The sequence below is a fragment of the Homo sapiens genome, chromosome 1 (genome assembly GCF_000001405.40).
Source record: "Homo sapiens chromosome 1, GRCh38.p14 Primary Assembly".
In the NCBI taxonomy this organism is placed as follows: Eukaryota; Metazoa; Chordata; class Mammalia; order Primates; family Hominidae; genus Homo; species Homo sapiens.
Window position 1 is genome coordinate 40,335,233 of NC_000001.11, and position 27,635 is coordinate 40,362,867.

The 27,635-nt window shown below is 44.0% G+C and overlaps 1 protein-coding gene across 3 annotated transcripts in view, besides 2 other annotated features; it reads left to right on the forward strand.

Annotated features, from left to right (window-relative positions):
* The first annotated feature begins 9,601 nt into the window (after positions 1–9,601).
* Positions 9,602–27,635, forward strand: part of SMAP2 (small ArfGAP2) — a 78,493-nt gene continuing 60,459 nt past the window's right edge. For 2 of the 3 annotated variants that reach the window (XM_047428011.1, XM_047428017.1), the window contains exon 1: positions 9,602–9,678. Coding sequence is in view for 1 of the 3 variants with exons in the window: in XM_047428009.1 (XP_047283965.1) it covers positions 27,150–27,204 (55 nt within the window). In the remaining 2 variants the exon portion in view is untranslated. Of the gene's footprint in view, positions 9,679–27,067; positions 27,205–27,635 lie in introns of all 3 variants that reach the window. The other variant, XM_047428009.1, reaches the window with a different exon arrangement.
* Positions 15,258–15,327: an enhancer, noted in NCBI's record as "active region_843". NCBI's record gives its function as "activates an Ori minimal core promoter by ATAC-STARR-seq in GM12878 lymphoblastoid cells {active_cell/tissue: GM12878}" and the evidence as "EXISTENCE:reporter gene assay evidence [ECO:0000049][PMID:35858748]".
* Positions 15,348–15,417: an enhancer, noted in NCBI's record as "active region_844". NCBI's record gives its function as "activates an Ori minimal core promoter by ATAC-STARR-seq in GM12878 lymphoblastoid cells {active_cell/tissue: GM12878}" and the evidence as "EXISTENCE:reporter gene assay evidence [ECO:0000049][PMID:35858748]".

The window sequence follows — 27,635 nt, forward strand, 5'->3', positions numbered from 1 at the left end:
GAAGGCTGAGTTGGGTGGATACCTGAGGTCAGGAGTTCAAGACCAGCCTGGCCAACATGGTGAAACCCCCGTCTCTACTAAAATTACATAAATTAGCTGGGCGTGATAGTGCACACCTGTAATCCTAGCTATTCAGGAGGCCGAGGCAGAGAATCGCTTGAACCTGGGAGGTTGCGGTGAGATGAGATTGCGCCATTGTACTCCAGCCTGAGCAACAAGAGCGAAACTCCGTCTCAAAAAACAAACAAACAAAACCACGTCTTGCTAGAGATCCTATTTGCAGCCTGTCTCAGAGATCCTTAGCTCAAATTTAAAACCTCCTTGATGAGTTTCAAGTGAAGGCTAAGTTTTAAAGGAAAAAATCTTAAGGTTTTTGTTGTTGTTTTGTGTCTTTTTTTTTTTTTTTTTTTTTTAAGAGATAAGGCCCCACTATGTTTCTCAGGCTGGTCTTGAACTCCTGGGTTCATGTGATTCTCCTGCCTTGGCCTCCCAAAATGTGAGGATTACAGGCGTGAGACAGTGTATCAGGCCCTTCTTGAGCTTTTCTTTCACTCCTCTCTTCTTCCTCTTCCTTCTTTTCTCTCTTTTCCCTTTCCTTTCTTCCTCTTTCCCTTTCTTCTTTCCAAAGTATTTACCGAACACTTTCTCTGTTATCTAGGCACTGTTCTGTTTAATATAGAAGGTGCAATTATCCTCAGCAAACTCCTGTTGATCCTTAAAGACACCACATCCAGAAAGTCTCTCCAGGATCAACAAGCTGGATTAACACAGAGAACATGAGTGAAAACTATTTTTATTTTTTTATCCTACAAATATTTGTTGAGGACGTTATGTGTCAGGCCTGTAGTGTGAGAAGATAATTAAATGATGTCATCATGAAGGCAGCAGCTAAGAACTACCATTTATTATTATTATTATTATTATTATTATTATTATTATTATTTTCATTATTTGGAACCAAATCTCACTCTGTTGCCCAGGCTGGAGGGCAATGGCACGATCTCAGCTCACTGCAACCTCGGTCTCCTGGGTTCAAGCGATTCTCTGCCTTAGCTTCCCAAGTAGCTGGGACTACAGGCCTGCACCACTACGCCTGGATAATTTTTGTATTTTTAGTAGAGATGGGGTTTCACCATGTTGGCCAGGCTGGTCTTGAACTCCTGATCTCAGGTGATCCACCCGCCTCGGCCTCCCAAAGTGTTGGGATTAGAAGCGTGAGCCACTGCGCCCGGCCGAGAACTACCACTTATTATTAATGGTGATCATTAATTTTTTTTTTTTGAGACGGTGTCTTGCTTTTGTTGCCCAGGCTGGAGTGCAATGGCACGATCTCGGCTCACTGCAACCTCTGCCTCCCGGGTTCAAGCGATTCTCCTGCCTCAGCCTCCCGAGTATCTGGGACTACAGCTGTGTGCCACCAAGCCCAGCTAATTTTTTGTATTTTTAGTAGTGATGGAGTTTCATCCTGTTAGCCAGGATGATCTGGATCCTCTGACCTCGTGATCTGCCTGCCTCGGCCTCCCAAAGTGCTGGGATTACAAGTGTGAACCTCACCCAGCCTATCTTCAGAACTTCTATCAGATTATTTTGAAGGTGTGTGAACATATTTTTATTTGTTTGTTAAACCTTGAAGGTGGATTGGATTTGAGAAATAGCTACTAGTTGTTCAAGACCAAGTTGGGTGAAAGATAATGGGTCAGAAATTATAATCTGGTAGTCCTCAATTTTCTTTGATTTGCTTATAATGTTTTTTGAGATGGAGTCTCACTCTGTTGCCCAGGCTGGAGTGCAGTGGTGTGATCTCGGCTCACTGCAACCTCTGCCTCCTGGGTTCAAGCAATTCTCCTGCCACAGCCTCCAGAGTAGCTGGAATTACAGGCACCCGCCACCATGCCTGGCTAATTTTTTTGTATTTTTCATAGAGACAGGGTTTCACCATGTTGGCCAGGCTGGTCTCGAACTCCTGAACTCAGGTGATCCTCCCGCCTCAGCCTCCCAAAGTTTTGGGATTACAGGCGTGAGCCACCACGCCCAGCAGTGACTGTTAATTTTGTGTACTGATTTTACGTGTCATCTTGACTGGACTAAGGGATATTAGCTGGTAGAACATTATTTCTGGGTGTGCCTTTGAGGGTGTTTCTGGAAGAGTTAACGTTTGAATCAGTAGACTGAGAGCAAAGAAGATCCACCTTCATCTATGTGAGTGGGCAGCATCCAGTCCATTGAGGGCTTGAATAAAAAGGCAGAGGAAGGGTGAATTCTCTCTGTCCTTGAGCTGGGACATCTATTTTCTCCTCCCCTTGGACATCGGAGCTCCTGGTTCTTGAACCGGTTTCCCTCCCCAACCCCACTCTCAGGCCTTCCACTGGGGACTAAATTACGCTACCGGCTTTCCTGGTTCTCAGCTTGCAGACAGTTTATCATTGGACTTCTTGGCCTTTGTAATCGCATGAGCCAACGCCCGTAATAAATTTCCTCTTACGTTATCTATATATATCCTATTGGTTCTGTTTCTCTGGAGAATCCTGACAAATACAACAATAATGCTTATCATTTAAATATTTATATTATCATAATTATTGTGTTTATAACAATATTTATTAAGCACTTGCTATATGACAGATATTGTATCAGTGTGGTACATGCATTTTGTCTTTAACTCCTCACAACCGCTCAACGAGGTAGGTCCCTTGATTATCCTCATTTTATTTATTTATTTATTTTTAATAGAGAAGAGGTCTCACTATGTTGTCCAGGCTGGTCTTGAACTCCTGGGCTCAAGCGATCCTCCCACCTTGGCCTCCCAAAGTGCTGGGATTACAGGCGTGAGCCACTGTGCTGGGCCTATCCTCATTTTATTTACAAGAAGACTGAAGCTTAGAGGTGTGAAGTGATTTCCCCAAGGACACACACCTGTTTTCCCACAGTTTCTAGCTCTGGATAGGTCTCAGTAACATACATTTTCCCCACTTTCCACTACAGCCACAGCATAGGGTTGTGCATTTTAGGATCTGCACAAAAAGGGAGGACAGAGGAGTGGGGCTGAGACCCAGCCTGGAGATGTTTGCCGCAATATTTTATTTTGCTGGTTCTAGCTTTCTTAGAGAACTCTTAGGATCTTCTGTTTGACTTGAGCCCTGGGCTGCTCCAGTTTACACTCCTCAGATCTCTAAATTTATTTATTTATTTATTTATTTTTTGAGACCAGCTCTGACTGTTGCCCAGGCTGGGGTGCAGTGGCGCCATCTCGACTCAGTGCAACCTCTGCCTCGTGGGTTCAAACCTCAGCTCCTGCCTCAGCCTCCTGAGCAGCTGGGATTATAGATGTGCACCACCACGCCCGGCTAATTTTTGTATTTTTAGTAGAGACGGGGTTTCACCCTGTTGGCCAGGCTGATCTCGAACTCCAGGCCTCATGTGATCCACCTGCCTCTGCCTCCCAAAGTGTTGGGATTACCGGCGTGAGCCACGACGCCCGGCCAAATCTCTAATTTCTAACCTTCCAATCTTCCAGTCGTTTCTTCCCACCTCCGATAGGAAGGAGAGGTGGGCTGCAGGGCAGGAAGAAAAGGCCCAGCTCCCTTCCCCACCAGTTGCTCCTTTAGACCGACTCCAGGTGAGCAGTAAATCAGGCTGGCTGGTGCTCTGGCGGCACCTAGTGGTCCTCTGCGGCAGCACACCATGATGACAGCTTGACAAGACGAATTAAAAGCCCCTTTCTCCAGGAGCTGCTAGCGAGATGAAACGGGCATAGAGGCAGATAAAGCACTGTGGGAACCCAGCGAGGGAGCAGTCGTGGTTTCTGGGGAGTTAGAACTTAGAATTTGGATTCAGCTAGACTTGGATCCTGGTTCTACCACATACTGACTGTGACCTTGGGCAAGTCATTTCATCTCTTTAAGCCTCAGTTTCCTCATTTGTGAGATGGGGAGAATAGTGTCTCTTGATGACCATGAAGTACTTAGCACAGTGCCCAGAACGCTTTGGATATTTGTTTTCGGCAGAAGGGAACTTCGTTTTGTTTGTTTGAGATGTAGTTTCGCTCTTTCGCCCAGGCTGGAGTGCAGTGTCGCAATGTCTGCTCACTGCAACCTCTGCCTTCCGGTTTCAAGCGATTCTTCTGCCTCAGCCTCCCAAGTAGCTGGGAATACAGGCGCCCGCCACCACACCCGGTTAATTGGCAGAAGGAACTTTGTAAGAAAGGCAGGGAGTGGGATGAATGTTCAGAAAACAGAGTAGGTGACAGATGATCCCCCTTCCCTGCTAGAGAAGAGCAAACACAGCTGGTCAGTCCCGTGGAGCAAGTTGGGGCAGGGGCTGAGTCTCTTAATTACAGCACAGTGAGACGACCTAGAACCCCTTCCTGGAAACAGCTGCCCATTCTGGGCTGAGCCAGAGTGCTAAACAGGTTTGCTCACCTGGCCTCTGGCTGCCCTCTTATGCCTGGCAGAAAATACCAACCATCAGCTTCCCACAGGTGCTTCTCTCTCCAGCTAGAACAGAGCAACTCCAAACTCCTCAGAATTGCCAATCCTGACCCTGGTTTCATCTGACCTCCCACTTGTTCCATCTGATTCCTTCCCAGTGCTGGTCCAACACTGATAAGCTTTAGTGTCCGCTTACATGAACTACACTCTCCTGGCTTTCCTCCTACCTCTCCAGCTGTTCTTTCTCAGGCCCCTTGCAGATTTCTTTTCTCTGCACACCCTTACTTAGCACTCTACAAGGTCCTGTCCTATCTTCTTATTCTTTATACTCTTCCTGGGCCATCTTATCCATCGGGTTGACTTTAACTGCTGCCTATATGTTTTCCTGAGTCTCAGACCTGCTTATCCAACTGCTTCTCAGATGTTCCACAGGCACCACCAAACTGACATGTCCCAAATGAAATTATCTTCTTGCCCACAAACCTGTTCCTCTTCCTGTGTGGCCTACACAGCCAGTGGTCCCACCCTCTGCCCTATTGCATAAGCCAAAACTATGGATGTCATCCTGGAGAAGAGACTTCCCTCTCTCCTCCCCGAGAAATATTATCGCCTTGTCCCAGTGACTATACCTCATAGGTGTTTAATCCATCCACCTCTCTCCATCCCCACTGCACCTACCTTATTCAGCATACCATCCTCTTTTGCTTGGGGGTATTGCAACTGCCTCTTATTTTAACTCCTTGCTTCCAGTTTTGCTCCATTGTTTTTCCTCTGTGTTCCTTTCTGGAGGCTCAAGGAGATAACTCATTGCCCAGCCTTTCCCACCTTCTAGAGGCTTCCCACATTTCTTGGTTTCCCCTTCCTCCATCTTCAAAACCAACAAAGTTACATCTTACTGACCATACTATAGTAAAATCTCCCTGTGCTTCTCTCTTCTGTCTTCCCCTTCCACTTTTTTTTTTTTTTTTGATGGAGTTTCACTCTTGTTGCCCAGGCTGAAGTACAATGGTGTGATCTCGCCTCACTGCAACCTCCGCCTCCCAGGTTCAAGTGATTCCCCTGCCTCAGCCTCCTGAGTAGCTGGGATTACAGGTGCTTGCCACCACGTCTGGATAATTTTGTATTTTTAGTAGAGACGGGGTTTCACCGTGTTGGCCAAGCTGGTCTTGAACTCCTGACCTCAAGTGATCTGCCTGCGTCAGCCTCCCAAAGTGCTGGGACTACAGGCATGAGCCACCACGCCCGGCCCCCTTTCCACTTTTAAGGACCTTGTGATTATATTGGGCCTATTAGGTAATGTAGGATAATCTCCCTGTCTCATAATCCTTAATTTAATCAATTCTTCAAAGTCCCTTTTTGCCATGTAATGTAACAGATTCACAGGTTCTGGAGGCATCTTTGGTAGATCATTATTCTGCCTACCACAGACCATTCTCTGGCCCCAGTATTCATACCTGTCTCACGAACAAAATGCATTCACCTTATTCCAAGGTCCCTAAAAATCTCAGCCCATTAAAGTATCAACTCAAAGTTCAAAGTCTCATTTAAATCTCATTAGCTCAAGAGTTTCAGATTTATCATGGATATTATCTAAATTAGGTTTTGGATGAGACTCAGCATAATCTATCCTGGGGCAAAGTTTCTCTCCACCTGTGGACGTGTGAAACTAGAAAATAAGCTTCTGCTTCCAAAATACGATACTGGGTCTAGCATAGGATAACACTAATAGACATTCCCATGTAAAAAGAGAGAAAGGAAGAAATAGAGGAGTCACTAGTCCCAAGCAATTTCAAAATTAAGTTAGACAAACTCCATTAGGTTTCAAAGCCTGGAAATAATACTTTGCAGCTCAAAGCTCTGCCCTCTGGGATCACAGCTCTGTCCTCTTAGTCATTCTTCCTTTTTCATGAAAGGTTCAGCACATGGCTGCAGCTGGGTGGTTTTATCAACTTGTTTCCTGCCTGTAGAATTTGGGGGATCTTATAGCCTTCTTTCATTTCATACCCTCTCTATCCTGTACAGTCCAAGCTCAAGTGTTTCTGCTGGTATAAAATTCTCAAGAACCCCGTGGATCTCTCATGTATGTCACTCCATTAGACAAAATGCTCCTTTGCAGATCTTCGCTTGATAAGCCCGTTTCTATTTCTGTCTTCTGTTGAGGTAGCTGAGGGGATATATGAGTCTCACACTTAATCTCTTCAAAAAACCTCTTATGTGACAGAATACTCTGAACTTTTTTTTTTTTTTGACAGTGTCTTGCTCTATTGCCCAGGCTGGAATTCAGTGGTGCAACCACAGTTCACTGCAGCCTTGACTCTCCAGGCTCAAACAATCCTCCCACCTCAGTCTCCCAAATAGCTGAGACTACAGGCAAGCACCACCTACCCAGCTAATTTTTGTTGTTGTTGTTGTTGTTGTTGTTGTTATCTGTAGAAATGAGGTCTCCCTATGTTTCCTCAAGCTGACCTTGAGCTCCTGGGCTCCAGCGATCCTCCCTTCTCAACCTCCTAAAGTGCTGGGATTACAGGCCTGATACTCTGACCTTTTGATCTTTCTGAGGTATTAGCAAAAGGTTGTCCAGCCACGTTCTTGGCTTTTTCTCTAAAGCACACTTTCCTGACAGTGAATTTCATCATTTTAACGTCTTTTGCATCTGAATAGGCTGAGAATTCCCCCAATCATCAAGTTCTGTTTCATTTTTTGTTAAACATTTCTCTCAAATTATCTGTTTCCTCTCACATTTTACTGTAAGCAGCAAGAAGAAACCAGACCACACCCTTCAACACTGCCTGGAAATCTCCTTAGCTAACTACCCAATTTCATTGTTTTTTTGTTGTTGTTGTTTTCTTTTTGAGACAGGGCCCCACTCTGTCACCCAGGTTGGAGTGCAGTGGCACGATCTCGGCTCACTGCAACCTCCACCTCTGGGGTTCAAGCAACTCTCCTGCCTTAGCCTCTCTAGTAGCTGGAACTACAGGTTCCTGCCACCACGCCTAGCTAATTTTGTATTTTTAGTAGAGATGGGGTTTCTCCATGTTGGCCAGGCTAGTCTTGAGCTCCTGACCTCAGGTGATCCACCCGCCTCAGCCTCCCAAAGTGCTGGGATTACAGGCATGAGCCACCTTGCCCGGCCTCAAGTTCATTGTTTATAAATTCTGTGTTTCATATAACTTCAAGGAACTGGATAAGCTTTTTGTCACTATGTACCAAGGATCCTCTTTCCTCCAGTTTCCCCTAACATATTCCCCATTTCTTTCTCAGCCGTCACCCATAGCACCTTTAACAGCCATATTTCTTCCAAGTCCGTTCATGTTCTCTAAATTGGTTGATATTTTCTTGACTCTGCTCATTACTGATTCCAGAGTCCTCACTGTCCAAGCTGTTAGCATTCACATTTCTCCCAGCAGTCTGATCAAGGCCATACAGGCTTTTCCCATCATGCTCCTCAGTGTTTTTCCTGCCTCCTCCCAAAGTTCAGTTCCAAAACCACTTCTACATGTTTAGGTATTTGTTACAGCAGTAACATAATCTGTATTCGTTTTCTGTTACTCCTGTAAGAAATTACCACAAATGTAGTGGCTTAAAACAATACAAATTTCTGGCCAGGAATGGTGGCTCACACCTGTAATCCCGGCACTTTGGGAGGCCAAGGCAGGTGGATCACAAGGTCAAGAGATCGAGACCATCCTGGCCAACATGTTGAAACCTCGTCTCTACTAAATATACAAAAATTAGCTGGGCATGGTGGTGGGTGCCTGTAATCCCAGCTACTTGGGAGGCTGAAGCAGGAGAATCGCTTGAACCCGGGAGGCGGAGGTTGCAGTGAGCCGAGATCACGCCACTGCACTCCAGCCTGGTAATAGAGCGAGACTCCGTCTCAAAAAAAAACAAAAAACAAAACAAAAAAACCCCAACCAAACAAACAAACAAAAAAAACACAATACAAATTTGTTACTTCTAGCTCAGTAGGTAAGAAGTCCGAATGACACGGGGCTAAAATCAAGACGTGAGCAGGGCTGCACCCCTTTCCTGAGGCTCTAGGGAAGAGTCTATTTCCTTTCCTTTTCTCTTTTCTAGAGGCTTTCTGCATTCCTTGGCTTGTGGCTCCCTTCCTCCATCTTCAAAGTTAGCAATGTGACATCTCCTTGACCACTCTTCCACAGTAAAATCTCCTTTGCCTCTCTCTTCTGTCCCTACCTTCCACTTTAAAGGACCTTTGTGATTACATTGGGCCCATCTAGTTAATCCAGGATAAACACCTCATCTCAAAATTCTTAACAACACCTGCAAAATCTCCTTTGCCATGTAAAGTAGCATATCCATAGGTTCCAGGGATTCGTATGTGGTCATCTTTGGGGGGTCATATTTCTGCCCCCCCCCCCCACCACACCCCTCTAAATCTTGTAGCCGATGTGGTCTGTCCAAGCAAACTCAGTCTTGTTAGCCTCCTGCTTAAAACTCTCCAATGGCTTTCCATGGACTCTAGGATGCAGAACAAATTCTTACCGTGGCTATTACAAAGCAACGTTTGTGAGTTGGCCCTTCTTTCCTGTGGAGCATCATGTTGCTCCTTTTTCCTCTCTCCTGCCTCCAGCATCCTGCATTGCAGGCATGCTAAACTGCCTGCAGCCTCACGGTGTCAAGGCTGCCATCACCCATCCTTTCTAATATTGCTCCTACTTGCTCTTCATCTAGTTCTCTCTTACTTGTTCTTAGATGACATCTAAACTAGACATCTAAGCTAGACATCTAAACTCTTCTGGAATCCTGCCCTGTCACTCTCCCCCGGGCCCTCTGGTCCCAGTCTGGCTATGTGCCCCCTCCATTGTTCTCCTGTCAGGGTGTATTGTATGCTACCGGAACGATTCATTTATTTTTCAGTCTCATCTACTAGATTATAAACTTTAAGAGGGCAGGGGCTGTATCTGCCTCACTGTTTATCCTCAGTTGCTTAGCAAGCGTCCAGTATGAAATAGAAACTGAGTATTTGCTGAGAAAATAAATGGGCAAGATTCCTTTGAGCTCACACAGTCCGTTCTGTGAACCCTCATTGCATGATTTGCTGGAGGATTATGGCAGAGACGTCCAATGCAATCATCATGATAGAGGAAGTGACTTGGAGCTCAGGGTGGGGGCGGCAGAGGGAGAGAGTCGAGCAGCCAGACCATTGCCTCACTAGTGAATGGCAGTGATTCCAGTTCATTCCTAGCTCAGAAAGCAACGTTTTGAGCCACAACTGTCACAACTCCAGGTTAGTCCCTAAGAAGATTTCTTTCTTTCCTTCTTTTCTTTTTTTTCTTTTCTTTCTTTCTTTCTTTCTCTTTCTTTTTCTTTCTTTCTTTCATCAGGTGTAGTTGTGAGAGGAGTTTCTTTTCTATTGATGCAAAAGAGACAACTCAGCTCTAAAGACTGACATTTATTTGCTTTTATTTTTTGTTGTCATTTGTAAAAGGCAAAATAAGGGCTGGGCATAGTGGCTCACACCTGTAATCCCAGTGCTTTGGGAGGCCAAGGCGGGAGGATCACTTGAGACCAGGAGTTTGACACCAGCCTGGGCAACATAGCAAGCTCCATCTCTACAAAAAATTAAAAAATATATCTGGGCATGGTGGCACACACCTGTAGTCCTAGCTACTCCCTGGAGGCTAAGGAGGGTGGAACAGTTTGAGGCTGCAGTGAGCCATGATCGTGCCACTGCACTCCAGCCTAGGCAAGACCCTGTCTCTAAGGAAAAAAAAAAAAAGTAAACAGCATCTATGCTTCCATCTCTTAAAAACGCTCTATCAATTCATCCACACACACCCCCACCACACACAAGCACAATTTTCATTTTTCTTTTTTTTTGAGATAGGGTCTCACTATGTTGCCCAATGCCCAGGCTGGTTTTGAACTCCTGGGCTCAAGCAATCCTCCTACCTCAGCCTCCCAAAGTGCTAGGATTACAAGTGTGAGCCATGCACCCAACCTTTTATTTTCATTTTTAAACCTTTTTTCACAATTTTCTTTTCTTCAACATGTCGTGAATTTATTTCCTGATCAGCATATAAAGATCTCTCTCATTGTTTTTTAATATTTTATTTTAGAATACATCTATTGTGTATTATAATATAACGTTAAATTTGCATTTGGCTGGAGGAGAAAGGAGGGGAAGGTATTATGCTGGAGTTTCTGGAGTTTCTTTCTTTTCTCTTATATATTATATTATATTATATTGTATTATATTGTATTGTATTATATTATATTATATTATATTATATTATATTATATTATATTAGAAAGTAGTCTTCAGACCTGGTATTTCTATCACTTTTTTTTTTTTTTTTTTTTTTTTTTTTAAGAGACAGGTCTTGCTGTGTTGAGACCCAGGCTGGTCTCAAATTCCTGAACTCAAGCAATCCCACCTAGGCCTTCCAAAGTGCTGAAATTGCAGATGTGAGTCACTGCACCCAGCCACAATATACTTTTAAAGTCACTTTTATATCTGTTAGTAGCTGATATGCCCACCAGAATCAAGGAGCTAGATGACGATGAAAATGCAATTGGTTTCCCTGCTCTCACCCTTCACCCCTATATAAATACATTATTTAACCAGCCCCTTTGTTTACAAAAATATGAATAATACTGTGAAGAAAGTTACTACACATAATGCATTGTGCATTTAATAAATTGTGTCCTTTGGATACTGCTAGAATAGGTTCTCAAAGACAAGAATAGGATTTTTTTTTTTTGAAACAAAGTCTAGCTTTGTTGCCCGGACTGGAGTGCAGTGGCATGATGACAGCTCACTGCAGCCTCAACCTCCCGGCCTCAAGTGATCCTCCTGCCTCAGTCTTCCGAGTACCTGGGACTACAAGTGTGCACAACCACACCTGGCTAACTTTTTAATTTTTTGTAGCCATGGGGTCTTGCTATGTTGCTCAGGCTAGTCTCAAACTCCTGGCCTCAAGAGATCCTCCAGTCTCAGCCTCCCAGAGTGCTGGGATTACAGGCATGAGCCACTGCACATAACCAAAAGTGTGATTTTTTAAAAAATCATTTAATATATTGCTGGTGTTTCTCAGAAAAAAAAAAACTTTTAACCAATTTAAACTTCCAAGTAAATGAAAATGCATAGTTCCCTGTATATTCAACAACATTAGGTATTATAATTAAACTTCTTTTGCTGGTTTGATAAGTTTTTTAAAATCTTGTTTCATTTATTTTTAATTTTTTTAGAGACAAACTCTTGCTGTGTTGCCCAGGCTGGAGTGCACAATCATAGCTCACTGCAGCCTGGGACACCTGGGCTCAAGTGATCCTCCTGTCTCAACCTCCCGAAGTGCTGAGACTACAGGCGTGAGCCACTTGGCCTGGCTTAAAAATCTATTTATTTATTTATTTATTTATTTATTTATTTATTTTTGAGACACGGTCTCACTCTGTTGCCCAGGCCAGAGTGCGGTGGCATGATCTCGGCTCACTGCAGCCTCTGCCTCCTAGGTTCAAGCGATTCTTCAGCCTCAGCCTCCTGAGTAGCTGGGACCACAGGTGCACCACCACGCCTGGCTAATTTGTGTGTGTGTGTGTGTTTGTGTGTGTGTGTTTTGTTTTTGTTTTTTTTTTTTTTTTTAAAGCAAAGATGGAGTTTCACCACGTTGGCCAGGCTGGTCTCGAACTCTTGACCTTAGGTGATCTGCCAGCCTTGACCTCCCAAAGTGCTGGGATTACAGGCATGGCTCCTGGCCAAATCTCATTTTCATATGTATTTCTTTCATTGGTAATAAGGCTAAATATTTTTCTTATGTTTATTAACCACTTACACTTTTTCTGTGAATTGTCTTCAGACAATTCTTGGGTTTTTGCTATTGTTTGTTTGTATTTTGAGACAGAGTCTTGCTCTGTCACCCAGGCTGGAGTGCAGTGGCACAATCTCAGCTCACTGCAACCTCCACCTCCCAGGTTCAAGTGATTCCCCTGGCTCAGCCTCCTGAGTAGCTGGGATTACAGGCATGAGCCACTGTACCTGGCCTGTCTTCAGATAATTCTTTGTTCATTTTTTTGTTGGAGGGTATTTTTATTGGTTTATAGTATAGCATACACATTTTTAGTGTAGTGTTTTAGGATATTAACAATTCGGCATATTTGTGGTACATATTCTTCCAGCTAGTTGCTTTCCTTTAAATATATTTTATGATCTTTAAAAACATACATTAAATGTGTGTGTGTGTGTGTCTGTGTGTGAGATTTATTCCATTCCATGGATTTTATGCTTAGAAAAATTTTTGGTCATTTATTCTACATACTCATCTATTTTTTCAAATTTATTTTGGTGTGTTTTCAATTTCTCACTATTATAAATAATGTTTTAAAAATCCTAGCTGGGTGCAGTGGCTCACACCTGTAATCCCAGCACTTCAGGAGGTCGAGGCAGGCAGATTGCTTGAGCTCAGGAGTTCAAGACCAGCCTGGGCAACATAGCGTGACCTCATCTCTACAAAAGAAAAATAATTTTTTAAAATAAATAAAACATTTTAAAAAATCCTTGTATTCAACTATAATTATTGCTTTAGGATGAATTCTTGAAAGCAAAATATCAGACAGAGTACACAATATTCTAAGGCGTTTGATATGTATTTCTGAATTGTTCTCCAGAATTGAGTTAACAAATTACAACCCCCTCCCTGCCAGCATTATACAAGGTTACCTGCTTTCTACTTCCCAGCCCAGGGAGTATTAAAAGTCTTTGCCAACATGGAGGTTGAAATATAATTTTAGGCCAGGCACAGTGGCTCACGCCTGTAATCCTAGCACTTTGGGAGGCCGAGGTGGGTGGATCACCTGAGGTCAGGAGTTTGAGACCAGCCTGGCCAACACGGTGAAGCCCTGCCTTCACTAAAAATACAAAAATCAGCTGGGCATGGTGGCGTGCACCAGAGAATGAGTCAAGAGAATCGCTTGAACCCAGGAGGCAGAGGTTGCAGTGAGCAGAGATGGCGCCGCTTCACTCAAGCCTGGGTGACAGAGGGAGACTCTGTCCCCCCTCAAAAAAAAAATTAATAAACTTATGAAAAAATTTGCTCTCACTAGAAATCAAAGAAATACAAATCAGTAGAAGAATAAAATACTATTTCTTTCTTTCTTTCTTTCTTTTTTGAGATGGAGTCCTCTGTCGCCTAGGCTGGAGTATAGAGGTGCAATCTCTGCTCACTGCAACCTCCGCTCCCCAGATTCAAGCGATTCTCCTGCCTCATTCTCCCGAGTAGCTGGGACTACAGGCACATGCCACCAGACCCAGCTAATTTTGTATTTTTAGTAGAGGCAGGGCTTCACCATGTTGGCCAGGCTGGTCTCAAACTCCTGACCTCAGATGATCCACCTGCCTCGGCCTCCCAAAGTGCTGGGATTACGGGCGTAAGCCACCATGCCTGGCCTCATTTTTGTTTTTCTTTAAAGTGCTTGCTCATATTATCTTCTCTATTTTCCTATTGGGATGTTTAATTTACTAAATTCTCTCACAATTTCATTTCTGTGAATTTTTCTTAGATTATTCTTTTTGCTTTTGGTTGCTGATGTTGTGAAGTTTTGTAACGTTAATGATAAAGCTGGGGTCAAAAATAGGCCTGCTGTTCATAGTCAATAATAACGAAGGTACCCCCTGTTGAGCACGTACAGTATCCCAGGTACTTCTCAGACACCTCTCATCTATACAGCTTCTAATTTTCACAACCACCTTTTTATCCTCATGTTACAGATGAGGAAACTGCGGCACATAGAGGTTAAGTATCTTGCCTCAAGTCACACAGCTAGTAAGTGGCAGAGCTTTTTATTATTTTGAATCCTCATAACAGCTGGTACGAAATTATTTTCTTTTTCCTTCTTTTTTCTTTCTTTTTTCTTTTTTGATGGAATCTCACTCTGTCACCAGGCTGGAGTGCAGTGGTGCCATCTCTGCTCACTGCAACCTCCACCTCCTGGGTTCAAGTGATTCTCGTGCCTCAGCCTCCCGAGTAGCTGGGATTACAGGCACGTGCCACCACATCCAGCTAATTTTTTTGTATTTTTAGTAGAGATGGGGTTTCACCATGTTGGCCAGGATGGTCTGGATCTCTTGACCTTGTGATCTGCCTGCCTCGGCCTCCCAAAGTGCTTGTATTATAGGCGTGAGCCACCATGCCCAGCCACAAGATTATTTTCTCTGCAATCCCAGCATCAGTGTTCCATTCCTTCTAAGTTGACTTGCAGAAGCACCTTGTCCAACATGTTATCTCCAACATTGAGTCAGTTGGAAATGGCAGAGAGCAGGTGAGTCAGACAGAAGGCAAGAATCATCTCCCACCTTTCCACAGAGTCAAGGTTGGCTAGGGAGACAGTACTCCCAGGCCTCCCGGAGGCTGTGGGGTTGAATCTCCCACCAGTGAGGAGAGCAGGTTTGTGACCATGTGTTCCCAGTATCAAGAAGCTATGGAGTAGCTGCCCAGCAGAGTACTCTGAGGTCATGGAATAGGTCATAAGATGAAGCCAACAGCTAGATAGCATCAGTGCCAGAGACTAGGCCAGGTGAGCCAACAGAGAGGCAGTCACTGGTTTCCTGAGTCATGGCCTTCAGGAGGGGTCAGTAGAGTACCCAAACAGAACAAACAGGACATCCCCAAGTGTGCCTCAGGGTATACAAGTACCAGACACATAGGAATCAGATCAGACCCACCAGATCTTGTTGGGGATTAGCAAAGCGTGCACGAGGAAGAGTGCAAACCTGAGGTCCCTATTGCGTGACACCATAAAAGCATGACCAGAAGAGGTTCAGGAATCAGTGAGAACTTCCAGAACAGAAGAGGGTGGGCTGGCAACGATGGGTGACCCATCTATTTCTCAGTAAGAGACAAAACCAGGAGGAAACTGTATTACTGGTGCAAAACTGAATTTGTCTGGTGATTTGCAAATCTGGGCTGCTTCCTGTTCAGGATCCAGTTATGTAAATCATATATTTCAGTTAGTAGGGCCCCAACCTGTGAATCCAGGGAAGTTGCCACTTAAATCAATGGCCCTAGCAAGGGCCTCTTGTGTCTATTTGGATGAAGATTTCAGGTATGTGGCACCTAAAGGCTTCTTAAACTCAGGAATTAATTGGAAGGAACCAAACTGACACCATTAGTGAAGAGGTTTAGTCATGTGAAGAAATTTCTATATCTTTTTCTAAAATAAGCATTTTAAAATTATGTTGTTCACTGGGATTTTTACAAAATCATTTATCTTTGGATTAAGAAACCTGTGATACTATTCTGCCCCATTCTGCTCATTAACTCATTACAAATAATAATTGTAAGCCTCCAGAGTGGAGACTCTGAAGACTCAAAGTCAGGAGCAGATCCAAACAATCTCCCTCCTTACCCAGAATCACAAGGACCTGTCGTAGACAAGAAGTTCCCTTGTGCTTGTCCTACTCTCCTTGGAAAAGAATCCTCTCTTGTTCCATTTTCTGGTGCCTTCTGGAGCACCCCAGCTTTGATGGGGAGCTGGTGGGTCTCTCTTCACAGATGTCCTACTCCCTCCTTTCTCGTCATTTGGGAGTGGTGACAGAGAGCAGGGCTGAGAGGTTATTGGAGAGAGGAGGGACTCTGTGGCCTGACAAGGAGGGGAAAAGGAGATACTCATCTGTCTTGGCACTTGTTGGAGATTGTCCATTGCACAGATTGCACAAGAAACGCTGTGGACAAGAAGATAGAATCTCAGCTCTGGTCTGAACTCTGTCTTTTCTAGTTAACCTGGATCTAGAGTCTGTTCAGAGTATAAATTTATTCTGGTGATGAATACAGAATACAATGATTAACTCCTTGACTCCTTAAAGAAATGATTCTTTCATTTTTATTTATTTATTTATTTTTTGATACAGAGTTTCACTCTTGTTGTCCAGGCTGGAGTGCGATGGCACGATCTTGGCTCACTGCAACCTCTGCCTCCTGGGTCAAGCGATTCTCACGCCTCAGCCTCCGGAGTAGCTGGGATTACAGGCGTGCACCACCAAGCCCGGCTAATTTTGTATTTTTAGTAGAGATGGGGTTTTACCATTTGGTCAGGCTCGTCTCGAACTCCTAACCTCAGGTGATCCACCCACCTTGGCCTCTCAAATTGCTGGGAGTACAGGGGTGAGCCACCGCGCTCAGCCTATTTTAATTTTTTTTAATAGAGACATGGCTTTACCATGTTGGCCAGGCTGGTCTCGAACTCTTGGCCTCAAGTGATCTACCCACCTCGGCCTCCCAAAGTGCTGGAATTACAGGTGTGAGCCACCGTACCCAGCCAGATTCTTAAGCTTCTTTGGGTTATGCACATCCCTGCAAATCTGAGGCCCTCTCTCCCCAAGACTGCACACACCCGCACATCCATGAATTTTTTTTTCTTTTTGTAAAGTGAAAGCAAGTTTATTAAGAAAGTAAAGAAACAAAAGAATAGTTACTCCATAGGCAGAGCAGCTCCATGAAATTTTTCATACAATTTCAGGGGGTTGATATTATAAATAATGTTTAAAATAAATAGTGTTGATAAGGTGCCAAAGTCCATCTGTGGACCCAGGATAAGATGCCCTCCAAGCTTTAATGATATTAGGAACAGGGTGGAGTTCAACCTTCTCAGCACAGCATACAAGGCCTTTCGTGATCTGGCCCTCACCCTCTGTCCAGCTTCTCCTAATGCTTGCCACATGTAACCTCTCTAGCAGCTCAGAGTTCTTTTTCAGTTCTGCATTTTCATGCATTTTAATCTCTCTGCCTATAATGTTCTCCTCCTTGATTGCTCGGAAAAGAACTCCACTCTGTCAAGGCAGAGTTCGTCACTTCTTTCTCTTCTTCCTTCTTTGTTGTTTCCCTTGCTCATTTTAAAATATTTTAATTTAAAAAGTTTTTCTATTTTTTTTTACTTTTAAAGACAGGATCTTGCTCTGTCATCCAAGCTGGAGTGCAGTGGCATGATCATAGCTCACTGCAACCTTGAACTCCCAGGCTCAAGCAATCCTCCCACCTTAGCTAGGACTACAGCAGCAAGCCACCATTCTCTGCTAATTTTTTAAAAAGTTTGTAGAGACAATGCCTCGCTATGTTGCCCAGGCTGGTCTCAAACTCCTGGCCTCAAGCGATCCTCCCTCCTTGGCCTCCTAAAGCTCTAAGATTACAGGTGTGAGCCACCACACGCGGCGCCTCCTCCTCATTTTTGATGGGAAAGGATTATTTTAGCATGATGTGTAATGATCTCGACCACAATTGATAGATATTAACAACAATGAAATTTTTATGTCTGGGTACTCCCATCTGAAGAATCTGAAAGTTCTAAGACTACGTTTGCAGATGGAGTCAGGCATGACGTTTTCCATGGTCCTGACCACCATGGACTCTATGGCAGACATTGTCCGGGGTTGCCCACAGCCATGTCCAGCACCCATCTCTCTTGCTGCCTCCTGCCATAAGGGCTTTCCTGGTGTCCTTTGCAGTTAGAGGCTGAGCCATGCAACCTAGTTTTGGCCAAGGAGTCTTAAGGGAAAGACTGCTGTGAGCTTCTCGGAAAACTTTTGTTTTCCTGATAAAAGAAACAGCTAAGATTGGGGACATTCCTTTTCTCTTCTTCCTTCATTGGAAGATGATGCAATGTTTAGAGCTGTGGTGACCATCTTGTGACCATGAGGTGATTTACATGAGCAGCAGTTCTCATACTTGAATGTGCACCAGAATAGTCACCCAGAGGGCTTCTTTATTTTTTTGAGACAGAGTTTTGCTCTTGTTGCCCAGGCTGGAGTGCAATGGCATGATCTCAGCTCACAGCAACCTCCGCCTCCCGGGTTCAAGTGATTCTCCTGCCTCAGCCTCCTGAGTAGCTGGGACTACAGGCATTTGCCACCATGCCCGGCTAATTTTTTGTATTTTTAGTAGAGATGGGTTTTCACCATGTTGGCCAGGCTGGTCTCGAGTCCCTAATCTCAAGTGACCCACCCTCCTTGGCCTCCCAAAGTGCTGGGATTACAGGTCACTGCACATGGCCCAGAAGGCTTCTTAAAAGAGACTGCTGAGCCCTATCCTCAGAAGTTCTGATTTATACACCTAGAGTGGGCTGAGAATTTGCATTTCTCTCTTTCTTTCTTTTTTTTTTAACAGACAAGTATCTTGCTATGTTGGCCAGGGTGGTCTTGAACATCTGACCTCAAGCAATCCTCCTGCCTCAGCCTCCCAGAGTGCTGGGATTACAGGTGTGAGCCATCGTGCCTGGCCAGAATGTGCATTTCTAACAAGTTGCCAGGTGACACTGATGCTGCTTGTCTGGGGACCACACTTTGAGAACCATTAAACATCAGGATAAAAATACAATAGGTTGAGGATGGCAAAGCAGAATGATAAAGCCTGGGTGTTGATGGCCTTGTCCAGAAGCTGAATCAATGTAAACCACTCCCTTGCCTCTGGATTTCTTGTTCAGTGATAAAATAAACCACTCTTTAAGCTACTGTTAGTTGGGTTTCTCTTGATTCTCATTCAAAGGCCTTCTGAACTTACAGAGAGCTGGACTCTGTAGGAAGGGCACAAGCAGAGAAAAATCCAGAGGGATGCTCATCCAAGGGTGACTTCAAATGGAATAAAGACTGCCTCAACAGGAAATGTCTCAAATTATGTCCTAGAGTCCATGGGTGTTGATAATAGTAAGATTGTGAGTTTTTGTTTGTTTGTTTGTTTTGTTTTGCTTGTGAGATGGAGTCTCGCTCTGTCGCCCAGGCTGGAGTGCAGTGGCGTGATCCCGGCTCACTGATCTCCGCCTCCCGGGTTCAAGTGATTCTCCTGCCTCAGTCTCCCGAGTAGCTGGGACTACAGGCGCCCACCACCACACCCAGCTAATTTTTGTATTTTTAGTAGAGATGGGGTTTCACCATATTGGCCAGGCTGGTCTCAAATTCCTGACCTTGGGATCTGCCTGCCTCGATCTCCCAAAGTGCTGGGATTACAGGCGTGAGCCACCGTGCCCAGCCAAGTTTTTTAATATAAGGTTAGTTAATTTTTTTTAAATGAGAATTGTTTTGGATTTTATTAGCTTTAGTAGTATAACTTGTGACCAACTAGTCTGGCATATCAGAGCAGTGAAATGAACCAAAACATTGAATTTTTTTTTTTTTTTTTTTTTTTTTTTGAGACAGAGTCTCACTCTGTCACCCAGGCTGGAGTACAGTGGCGTGATCTCGGCCCTTAGCTCACTCCAACCTCCACCTCCCGGGTTCAAGTGATTCTCCTGCCTCAGTCTCCTGAGTAGCTGGGATTATAGGCACCCACGACCAAACCCAGCTAACTTTTGTATTTTTAGTAGAGAGGGGGTTTCACCATGTTTGTCAGGCTGGTCTCAAACTCCTGGCCTCAAGTCATCTGCCCGCCTCACCCTCCCAATGTTCTGCCAGCCTCACCCTCCCAAAGTGAGGCCTGAGGTGCACCTGGCCTCATTGAAGGTTTTACAGATCACCCTTATGCTGATACTGATAAAGAATAATTGTGGTTTTTGCCATTAAAATTAATGGCCATTAATAGAAACTGACCAGAGTTCTATTCTTGCTTTGCCACCTTCAGCACTCTTCCGGCCTCTACTCAGGTTATGATAGTGGTGCTTTTGCCTCTGACTAGTTTTCAAGGATAATGATGAGTATCAGTGCCTGTTTACTAAGAATTTTTGTTTTGGTCTCTTTTTTGCTTATTCCTCGTTATCACTATACTATTATACTTTCAATATGTATTTATAATTGCTTATTTTTAATTTTTAATTTTTGTGTGTACATAGTAGGTGTATGTACTTATGGGGTACATGAGATATTTTGATACAGACATACAATGCATAATAATCACATCAGGGTAAATAGGGTGTCTCAAGCATTTATTCTTCGTGTTACAAACAATTCAATTATACTCTTTAAGCTATTTTAAAATATACAATAAATTATTTTTGACTGTAGTCACCCTGTTGTGCTATCTAATACTAGATTTTTTTTTGAGACGGAGTCTCACTTTGTTGCCCAGGCTGGAGTGCAGTGGCACCGGTCAGGGCTCACTTCAGCCTTGACCTCCCAGGCTCAAGCAATCCTCCCTTCTCAGCCCCTCAAGTAGCTGGAACTACAAGCATGTGCTAATTTTTAAATTTTTTGTAGAGACGAGGTCTCACTATGTTGCCAAGGTTGCTGTGGAACTCCTGGGCTCAAACGACCCACCTGCCTCAGCCCCCCCAAAATGCTGGGATTATAGGTGTGAGCCACTGCACCCAGCAAATTCTAGATCTTATTCATTCTATCTAACTATATTTTTGTACCCGTTAACCATTCCCACTTTCCCCCACCCCCACTAACCTTCCCTGTCTCTGGTAACCATTATTCTTCTCTCTGTCTCCATGAGTTCAGTTGTTTTAATTTTTAGCTCCCACAAATGAGTGAGAACATGTGAAGTTTGTCTTTCTGTGCCTGGCTCATTTCACTAACATAATGACCTCCAGTTCCATTCTTGTTGCAAACTAGAGGATCTCATTCTTTCTTATGGCTGAATAGTACTCCATTGTATGTACGTACCACATTTTCTTTATCCATTTGTCTGTTGACAGACACTTAGGTTGCTTCTAAGTCCTGGCTATAGTGAACAGTGCTGCAATAAACAGGACAGTGCAGATATCCCCTCGATATACTGATTTCCTTTCTTTTGGATATACACCTTGCAATGGGATTGCTGGATCATATGGTTGTTCTATTTTTAGTTTTTTGTGGGTTTTTTGTTTTTTTTTGTTTTTTTTTTTTTGAGACCAAGTCTCGCTCTGTCGCCTAGGCTGGAGTGCAGTGGCGTGATCTCAGCTTACTGCAAGCTCTGCCTCCCGGGTCCACACCATTCTCCTGCCTCAGCCTCCTGAGTAGCTGGGACTACAGGCACCTGCCACCATGCCCAGCTAATTTTTTGTATTTTTGGTAGAGACGGGGTTTCACTGTGTCAACCAGGATGGTTTCGATCTCCTAACTTTGTGAGCCGCCCGCCTTGGCCTCCCAAAGTGCTGGGATTACAGGCGTGAGCCACCGTGCTGGACCCCTATTTTTAGTTTTTTGAGGAACCTCCAAACTGTTCTCCATAGTGGTTGTCTTAATTTACATTCCCAACAACAGTGTACGAGGGTTCCCTTTTCTTCACATCCTCTCTAGTGTTCGTTATTGCCTGTCTTTTGGATAAAAGCCATTTTAACTGGGGTGAGATAATATCTCATTTTAGTTTTGATTTGCATTTCTCTTATGATCAGTGATGTTGAGCAACTTTTCATATACCTATTTGACCTTTGTGTGTCTTCTTTGGAGAAATGTCTGTTCAGATTTTTTGCCCATTTTTAAATCAGATTATTAGATTTTTTTCCTATTGAGTTATTTGAGCTCCTTATATATTCTGTTTATTAAGCCCTTGTCAGATGAATGGTTTGCACATTTTTTTCCCCATTCTGTGGGTTGTCTCTTCATTTTGTTGATTATTTCCTTTGGATTGTTGAGTATTTCCAATGGACCCCATTGTCCATTTTTGCTTTGGTTTCCTGTGCTTGTGAGGTATTTCTTGAGAAATTTTGGATCACCTGAGGTCAGGAGTTCGAGACCAGCCTGGACAACATGGTGAAACCCCATCTCTACTTAAAATACAAATATTAGCCAGGCATGGTGACGTGTGCCTGTAGTCCTAGCTACTCAGGAGGCTGAGGCAGGAGAATTCCTTGAACCTGGGAGGCAGAAGTTGCAGTAAGCTGAGATCACACCACTGCACTCCAGCCTGGGCCACAGAGCGAGATTCTGTCTCAAAAACAAACAACAACCACAAAAAAAAAAAAAGAAGGAAATCTTTGCCCTGTCCAATGTCCCAGAGAGTTTCCTCAGTGTTTTCTTTTAGTAGTTTCACAGTTTGAAGTCTTAGATTTAAGTCTTAGATCAAATTTTGGTTTGATTTTCGTATATGGTGAGAAGGGTCTAGTTTCATTCTTCTACATATAGGTATGCAGTTTCCCTAGCACCATTTATTGAAGAGACTGTTTTTTCCCCAGTCAATATTCTTTGCATCTTTGCTCAAAAAGAATTCACTGTAGGTGTATGGATTTGTTTCAGGGTTTTTCATTTTGCTCCATTTGTCTATATGTCCATTTTTGTGCCAATGCCATGCTGTTTTGGTTACTATAGCTTTGTAGTATAATTTAAAGTCAGGTAATGTGATTACTCCAGCTTTGTTCTTTTTGCTCAGGATAGCTTTAGCTATTCTGGGTCTTTTGTGGTTTCATATAAATTTTAGGATTGTTTTTCCTATTTCTTTGAGGAATGTTATTGGTTTTTTTTTTAATAGGGATTGCATTAAATCTGTACATTGCTTTAGGCAATATGAATATTTTAACAATATTTATTCTTCCAATCCATGAACATGGAATACGTTTCCATTTTTTGTGTCATCTTGATTTATTTCATCAATGTTTTATAGTTTTTATTGTTAAGATCTTTCACTTCTTGGGTTAATTCTTATGTATTTTACTTAATTTGTAGCTATTGTAAATGGGATTACTTTCTTGATTTCTTTTTCAGATTGTTTGCTGTTGACATACAGAAATGCTACTGATTTTTGGCCGGGTGCAGTGGCTCACACCTGTAATCCCAGCACTTTGGGAGGCCAAAGTAGGTGGATTACTTGAGGTCAGGAGATCGAGACCAGCCTGGCCAACGTGGTGAAACACTGTCTCTGCTAAAAATACAAAAAATTAGCTGGGCGTGGTGGTGGACATGTGTAATCCCAGCTACTTGGGAGGCTAAGGCAGGAGAATTGCTTGAACCCAGGGGGCGGAGGTTACAGTAAGCCAAGATCACACCATTGCACTCTAGACTGGGCGACAGAGCAAGATTCCATCTCAAAACAAAACAAAACAAAAAACACACACAAAGTGCTGGGATTACAGGCATGAGCCACTGCACCTGGTCTTGAATTTTTAAAGACTTATTTTATGGCCTAACATATACTCTATCCTTGAGAATGATCCATGTGCTGAGGAGAAGAATATGTATTCCGCAGCTGTTGTATGAAATGTTTTGTATCTATTAGGTTCATTCGATTTTTAGTGCAGATTAAGTCTGATGTTTCTTTGTTGGTTTTCTGTCTGGATGATCTGCCCAGTGCTGAAAGTAGGGTGTTGAAGTTTCTAGCTATTAATGTATTGGGGTCTATTTCTCTCTTTAGCTCTAATAATATTTCCTTTATATATTTGGGTGCTCCAGTGTTGGATGCAGATATATACATCCTCTTGCTGAATTGATTCCTTTATCATTATATAATGACCTTCTTTGTCTCTTTTTATGGTTTGTATCTTGAAATCTATTTTGTCTGTTATAAATATAGTTACTTCTGTTCTTTTTTGTTTTCATTGACATGGAATATCTTTTTCCATTCCTTTATTTTCAGTCTATGTGTATCTTTTTTTGTTTGTTTGTTTGAGACAAAACCTTGCTTTGTTGCCCAGGTTGGAGTGCAGTGGCACAATCTCAGCTCACTGCAACCTCTGTCTCCCAGGTTCCAGCAATTCTCCTGCCTCAGCCTCCCAAGTAGCTGGAACTACAAGTGCGTGCCACCATGCCCAGCTAATTTTTGTATTTTTAGTAGAGACGGGGTTTCCCCATGTTGTCCAGGCTGGTCTCGAACTCCTGACCTCAGGTGACCCACCCACCTTGGCCTCCCAAAGTGCTGGGATTACAGGCATGAGCCACCGCACCCCTATTTGTGTCTTTATAAGTAAGTTTCTTGTATGCAACAGATCACCAGGTCTTGTTTTTTCATCCATTCAGCCACTTTATGTCTTTTCATCAGAGAGTTTAGTCCATTTACATTCAGTGTTATTATTGGTAAGTAAGGACTTATGCCTGCCACTTTGTTATTTGTTTTCTGGTTGTTTTGTGGTTTTCTCTTCCTTCTTTCCTTTCTACTTGTCTTCCTTTTAGTGAAGGTGGTTTTCTCTGGTGGTACACTTTACTTTTTTGCTTTTTATTTTTTGTTTATCTGTTGTTTGTTTTTTATTTGAGGTTACCATAAGGACTGCAAATCATCTCTTATAACCCATTATTTTAAACTGATGACAACTTAACACTGATTGCGTAAACAGACAAGCAAAGAAAAAAACTAATAAAAACTCAACACTTTATCCCCCTCCTTTTTAACTTTTTGTCATTTCTGTCTATATCTCATTGGACTGTCTATGTCTTGAAAAGTTGTAATTATTATTTTTGATCAGTAAGCAATCACAGTATCTGGTTTTAACTTCGTATTACAGAAAGAGGCACTGAAGAGGGTACAAAAGACAGACTTTTTTCTTCTTCTTCTTTCTTTTTTTTTTTTTTTTTTTTGAGATGGAGTCTCGCTGTGTCACCTAGGCTGGAGTGCAGTGGTGCGATCTCGGCTCACTGCAAGCTCCGCCTCCCAGGTTCATGCCATTCTCCTGCCTCAGCCTCCTGAGTAGCTGGGACTACAGGTGCCCACCACCACACCCGGCTAATTTTTTGTAATTTTAGTAGAGACGGGGTTTCACCATGTTAGCCAGGATGGTCTCGATCTCCTGACCTCATGATCCGCCTGCCTCGGCCTCCCAAAGTGCTGGGATTACAGGCGTGAGCCACCGTGCCTGAGCTTTTTTTTTTTTTTTTGAGATAAAGTCTTACTCTGTTGCCCAGGCTGGAGTGCAGTGGCAAGATCTTGGCTCACTGCAACCTCTGCCTCTCAGGTTCAAGTGATTCTCCTGCCTCAGCCTCCTGAGTAGTGGGATTACAGGTACCCACTACCACGCCTGGCTAATTTTTGTATTTTTAGTAGACTCATGGTTTTGCCATGTTGGCCAGGCTGGTCTCAAACTTCTGACCTCAGGTCATCCACCTGCCTCGGCCTCCCAAAGTGCTGGGATTACAGGCATGAGCCACTGTGCCCAGCCCAAAGGACAGTCTTGAATTGCTGATGGCACTGCTCCCCCATTCCATAGCAACAGCTGTGTGGCCCAGAGAGAATCAGTGTGCTTGGGAGAAGGAGAGCACAGTGATTGTGGGACTTTGCATTAGAACTCAGTGCTGCCTTGTCACAGTGGAAAGCAACCCTGGGCAGAACTCAGCCAGTGCTCCACAGGGAGCATTTAGATCAATCCTCACCAGAGGGGAATTGTCCATACCAGTGGTTGGAAACAGTTCACATTAGTCTCACCACCCCAGGCCAAAGTGCTCTGGAGTTCTAAGTAAACTTCAAAGACAGTCAAGGCCATGAGGACTGCAATTCTGGGGACAGTCCTGATGCTATGCTGGGCTTGAAGCCAGTGGACATGGGGGGCACATGACTTAATAAGACACCAGCTGGGGCTGCCAAGGTAGTGCTTTTGCCATCCCTTCCCCAATTGCAGGCAGCATAGCTTGCAGTTCCAGGAGAAAGTCATTTCTTCCACAAGAGAGGAGAGAGAAAAGAGGGCTTTGCCTTGCAACTTGGATACCAGTTCAGCCACAGTAGGATAGGGCACCAGGCAGAGTCCTGAGGCCCCTATTCCAGGTCCTAGGTTTTGGATGACATTTCTAGACACACCCTGGGTCAGAAGGGAACCCACTGCCTTGAAGGGAAGAACCCAGTCCTGGCAGGATTCTTCACTTGTTCACTCAAGAGCACTTGGGCCCCGAATGATCAGCAGCAGTACCCAGGCAGGACTCACCATGGGCCTTGGGTGAGACTCAGAGATGTGCTGGCTTAATGTGTGACCCAGCACATTCCCAGCTGTGGTGGCTGCAGGAATGGACTCCTTCTGCTTGAAAAAGGAGAAGGAAGAGTAAAGGGAACTTTGTCCTGCAGCTTAGGTACCAGATTGACCAAGTGGGCCCTTGAGGTCCCCAATTCCAGACCTTAGCTCTTAGATGGCATTTCTGGACCTTCCCTGGGCCAGAGGGGAGCCCACTGCCCTGAAGGGAGAGTCCCACACCTCGCAGCATTCACCACAAGCTGACCAAAGAGCCCTTAGGCTTTGAATGAACATCAGCAGAAGCCAGGGAGTACTTTCCGTGGGCCTGGGGCACTGGTGGCCACAGGGAGAGACTCCTCTGCTTGAGCAAAGGGAAAGGAAGAGGGGGAAGGACTTTGTCTTGTGGCTTGGGTGCCAGCTCAGCTGCTATAGAATAGAGCAACAGGTTGATTCCTAAGGCTTCTGACTCCCGGCTTGATTGTGCTGTCATTTTTGACAAAGTGTGCATGGGAGATAAACTGGTTAGGATTCCAATAGGAAGCCTGTGGCCAATGCAAAAGAGGCCAGTGAGGAGCGTTTAAAGAAGGGACCATTTTGTAAAGTGTGGGAAGGGTGAAAGAAAATCAACCAAGGGCATGATGTATCTTGGGGCGAGCAAGTGCAGATGGCTGTTGCCCTCAAAGCCTGAAGAGGCCAGGGGAGAGAGTATGACCAGAATGTGATGTGAGCCCTCGCTGTAGGAGAGGGCCACCATCACAGTCAAGAGGGCCACTGTCGCAGACACTTTGACTGTCACTGGAGGGGGGCAGTAGCTCTGCCAGTAGGGAGAAAGCAGAGAAAATAAATAACTCGACTTCTCTCTCCTCTTGCCCTCTGATTTCCCACTGTTCTTCCCATTGGTTGAACACAACCAAAAGCTGGTGTGCAGAGAAGCCAGGTTGATGCCATCTATCAAAGTTGTCTCTTAGACCTCAGAGCCAGTTGAAGGGCTGAGAGAGGATGTGGAAGCCAATGGAACACAGCCAGCGCAGGAGGCAAGATTTTGAAATCTATGGTATGTGAAACTGTCTTTATTCAACACTGCCTCTAGAATAGTAGTTTGGGTGGTACAGAATTCTGGGTTGGCAACTCTTTTTTTTCTCAGAATTTTGGAGGCAAAGTTTCATTGTCTCCTGGCTTCCAGTGCTACTGTTGAGAACTCCATGCTATTCTCATTCCTGATTCTTTTTCATGTGATTTGTTTTTCCTCTCTGGAAACTTCAGATCTTGCCTTTTCCCCCAGTGTTCTGCCATTTCACATTGATATGCTCTGGTGTGGGGCAATTTCCTATCATTACACTACAGAGTTCTTGGAGTAGGCCTTGGTCAGTTATACTTGCTCTGTCCCTCGTAAGCACCAAATCCAGAAAATAGAGCATTCAACACAGGAAAAAGAGGAAGGCTATTCCCAGGATGATAGTGAAGGGGAATTCCAGGGTGATGATT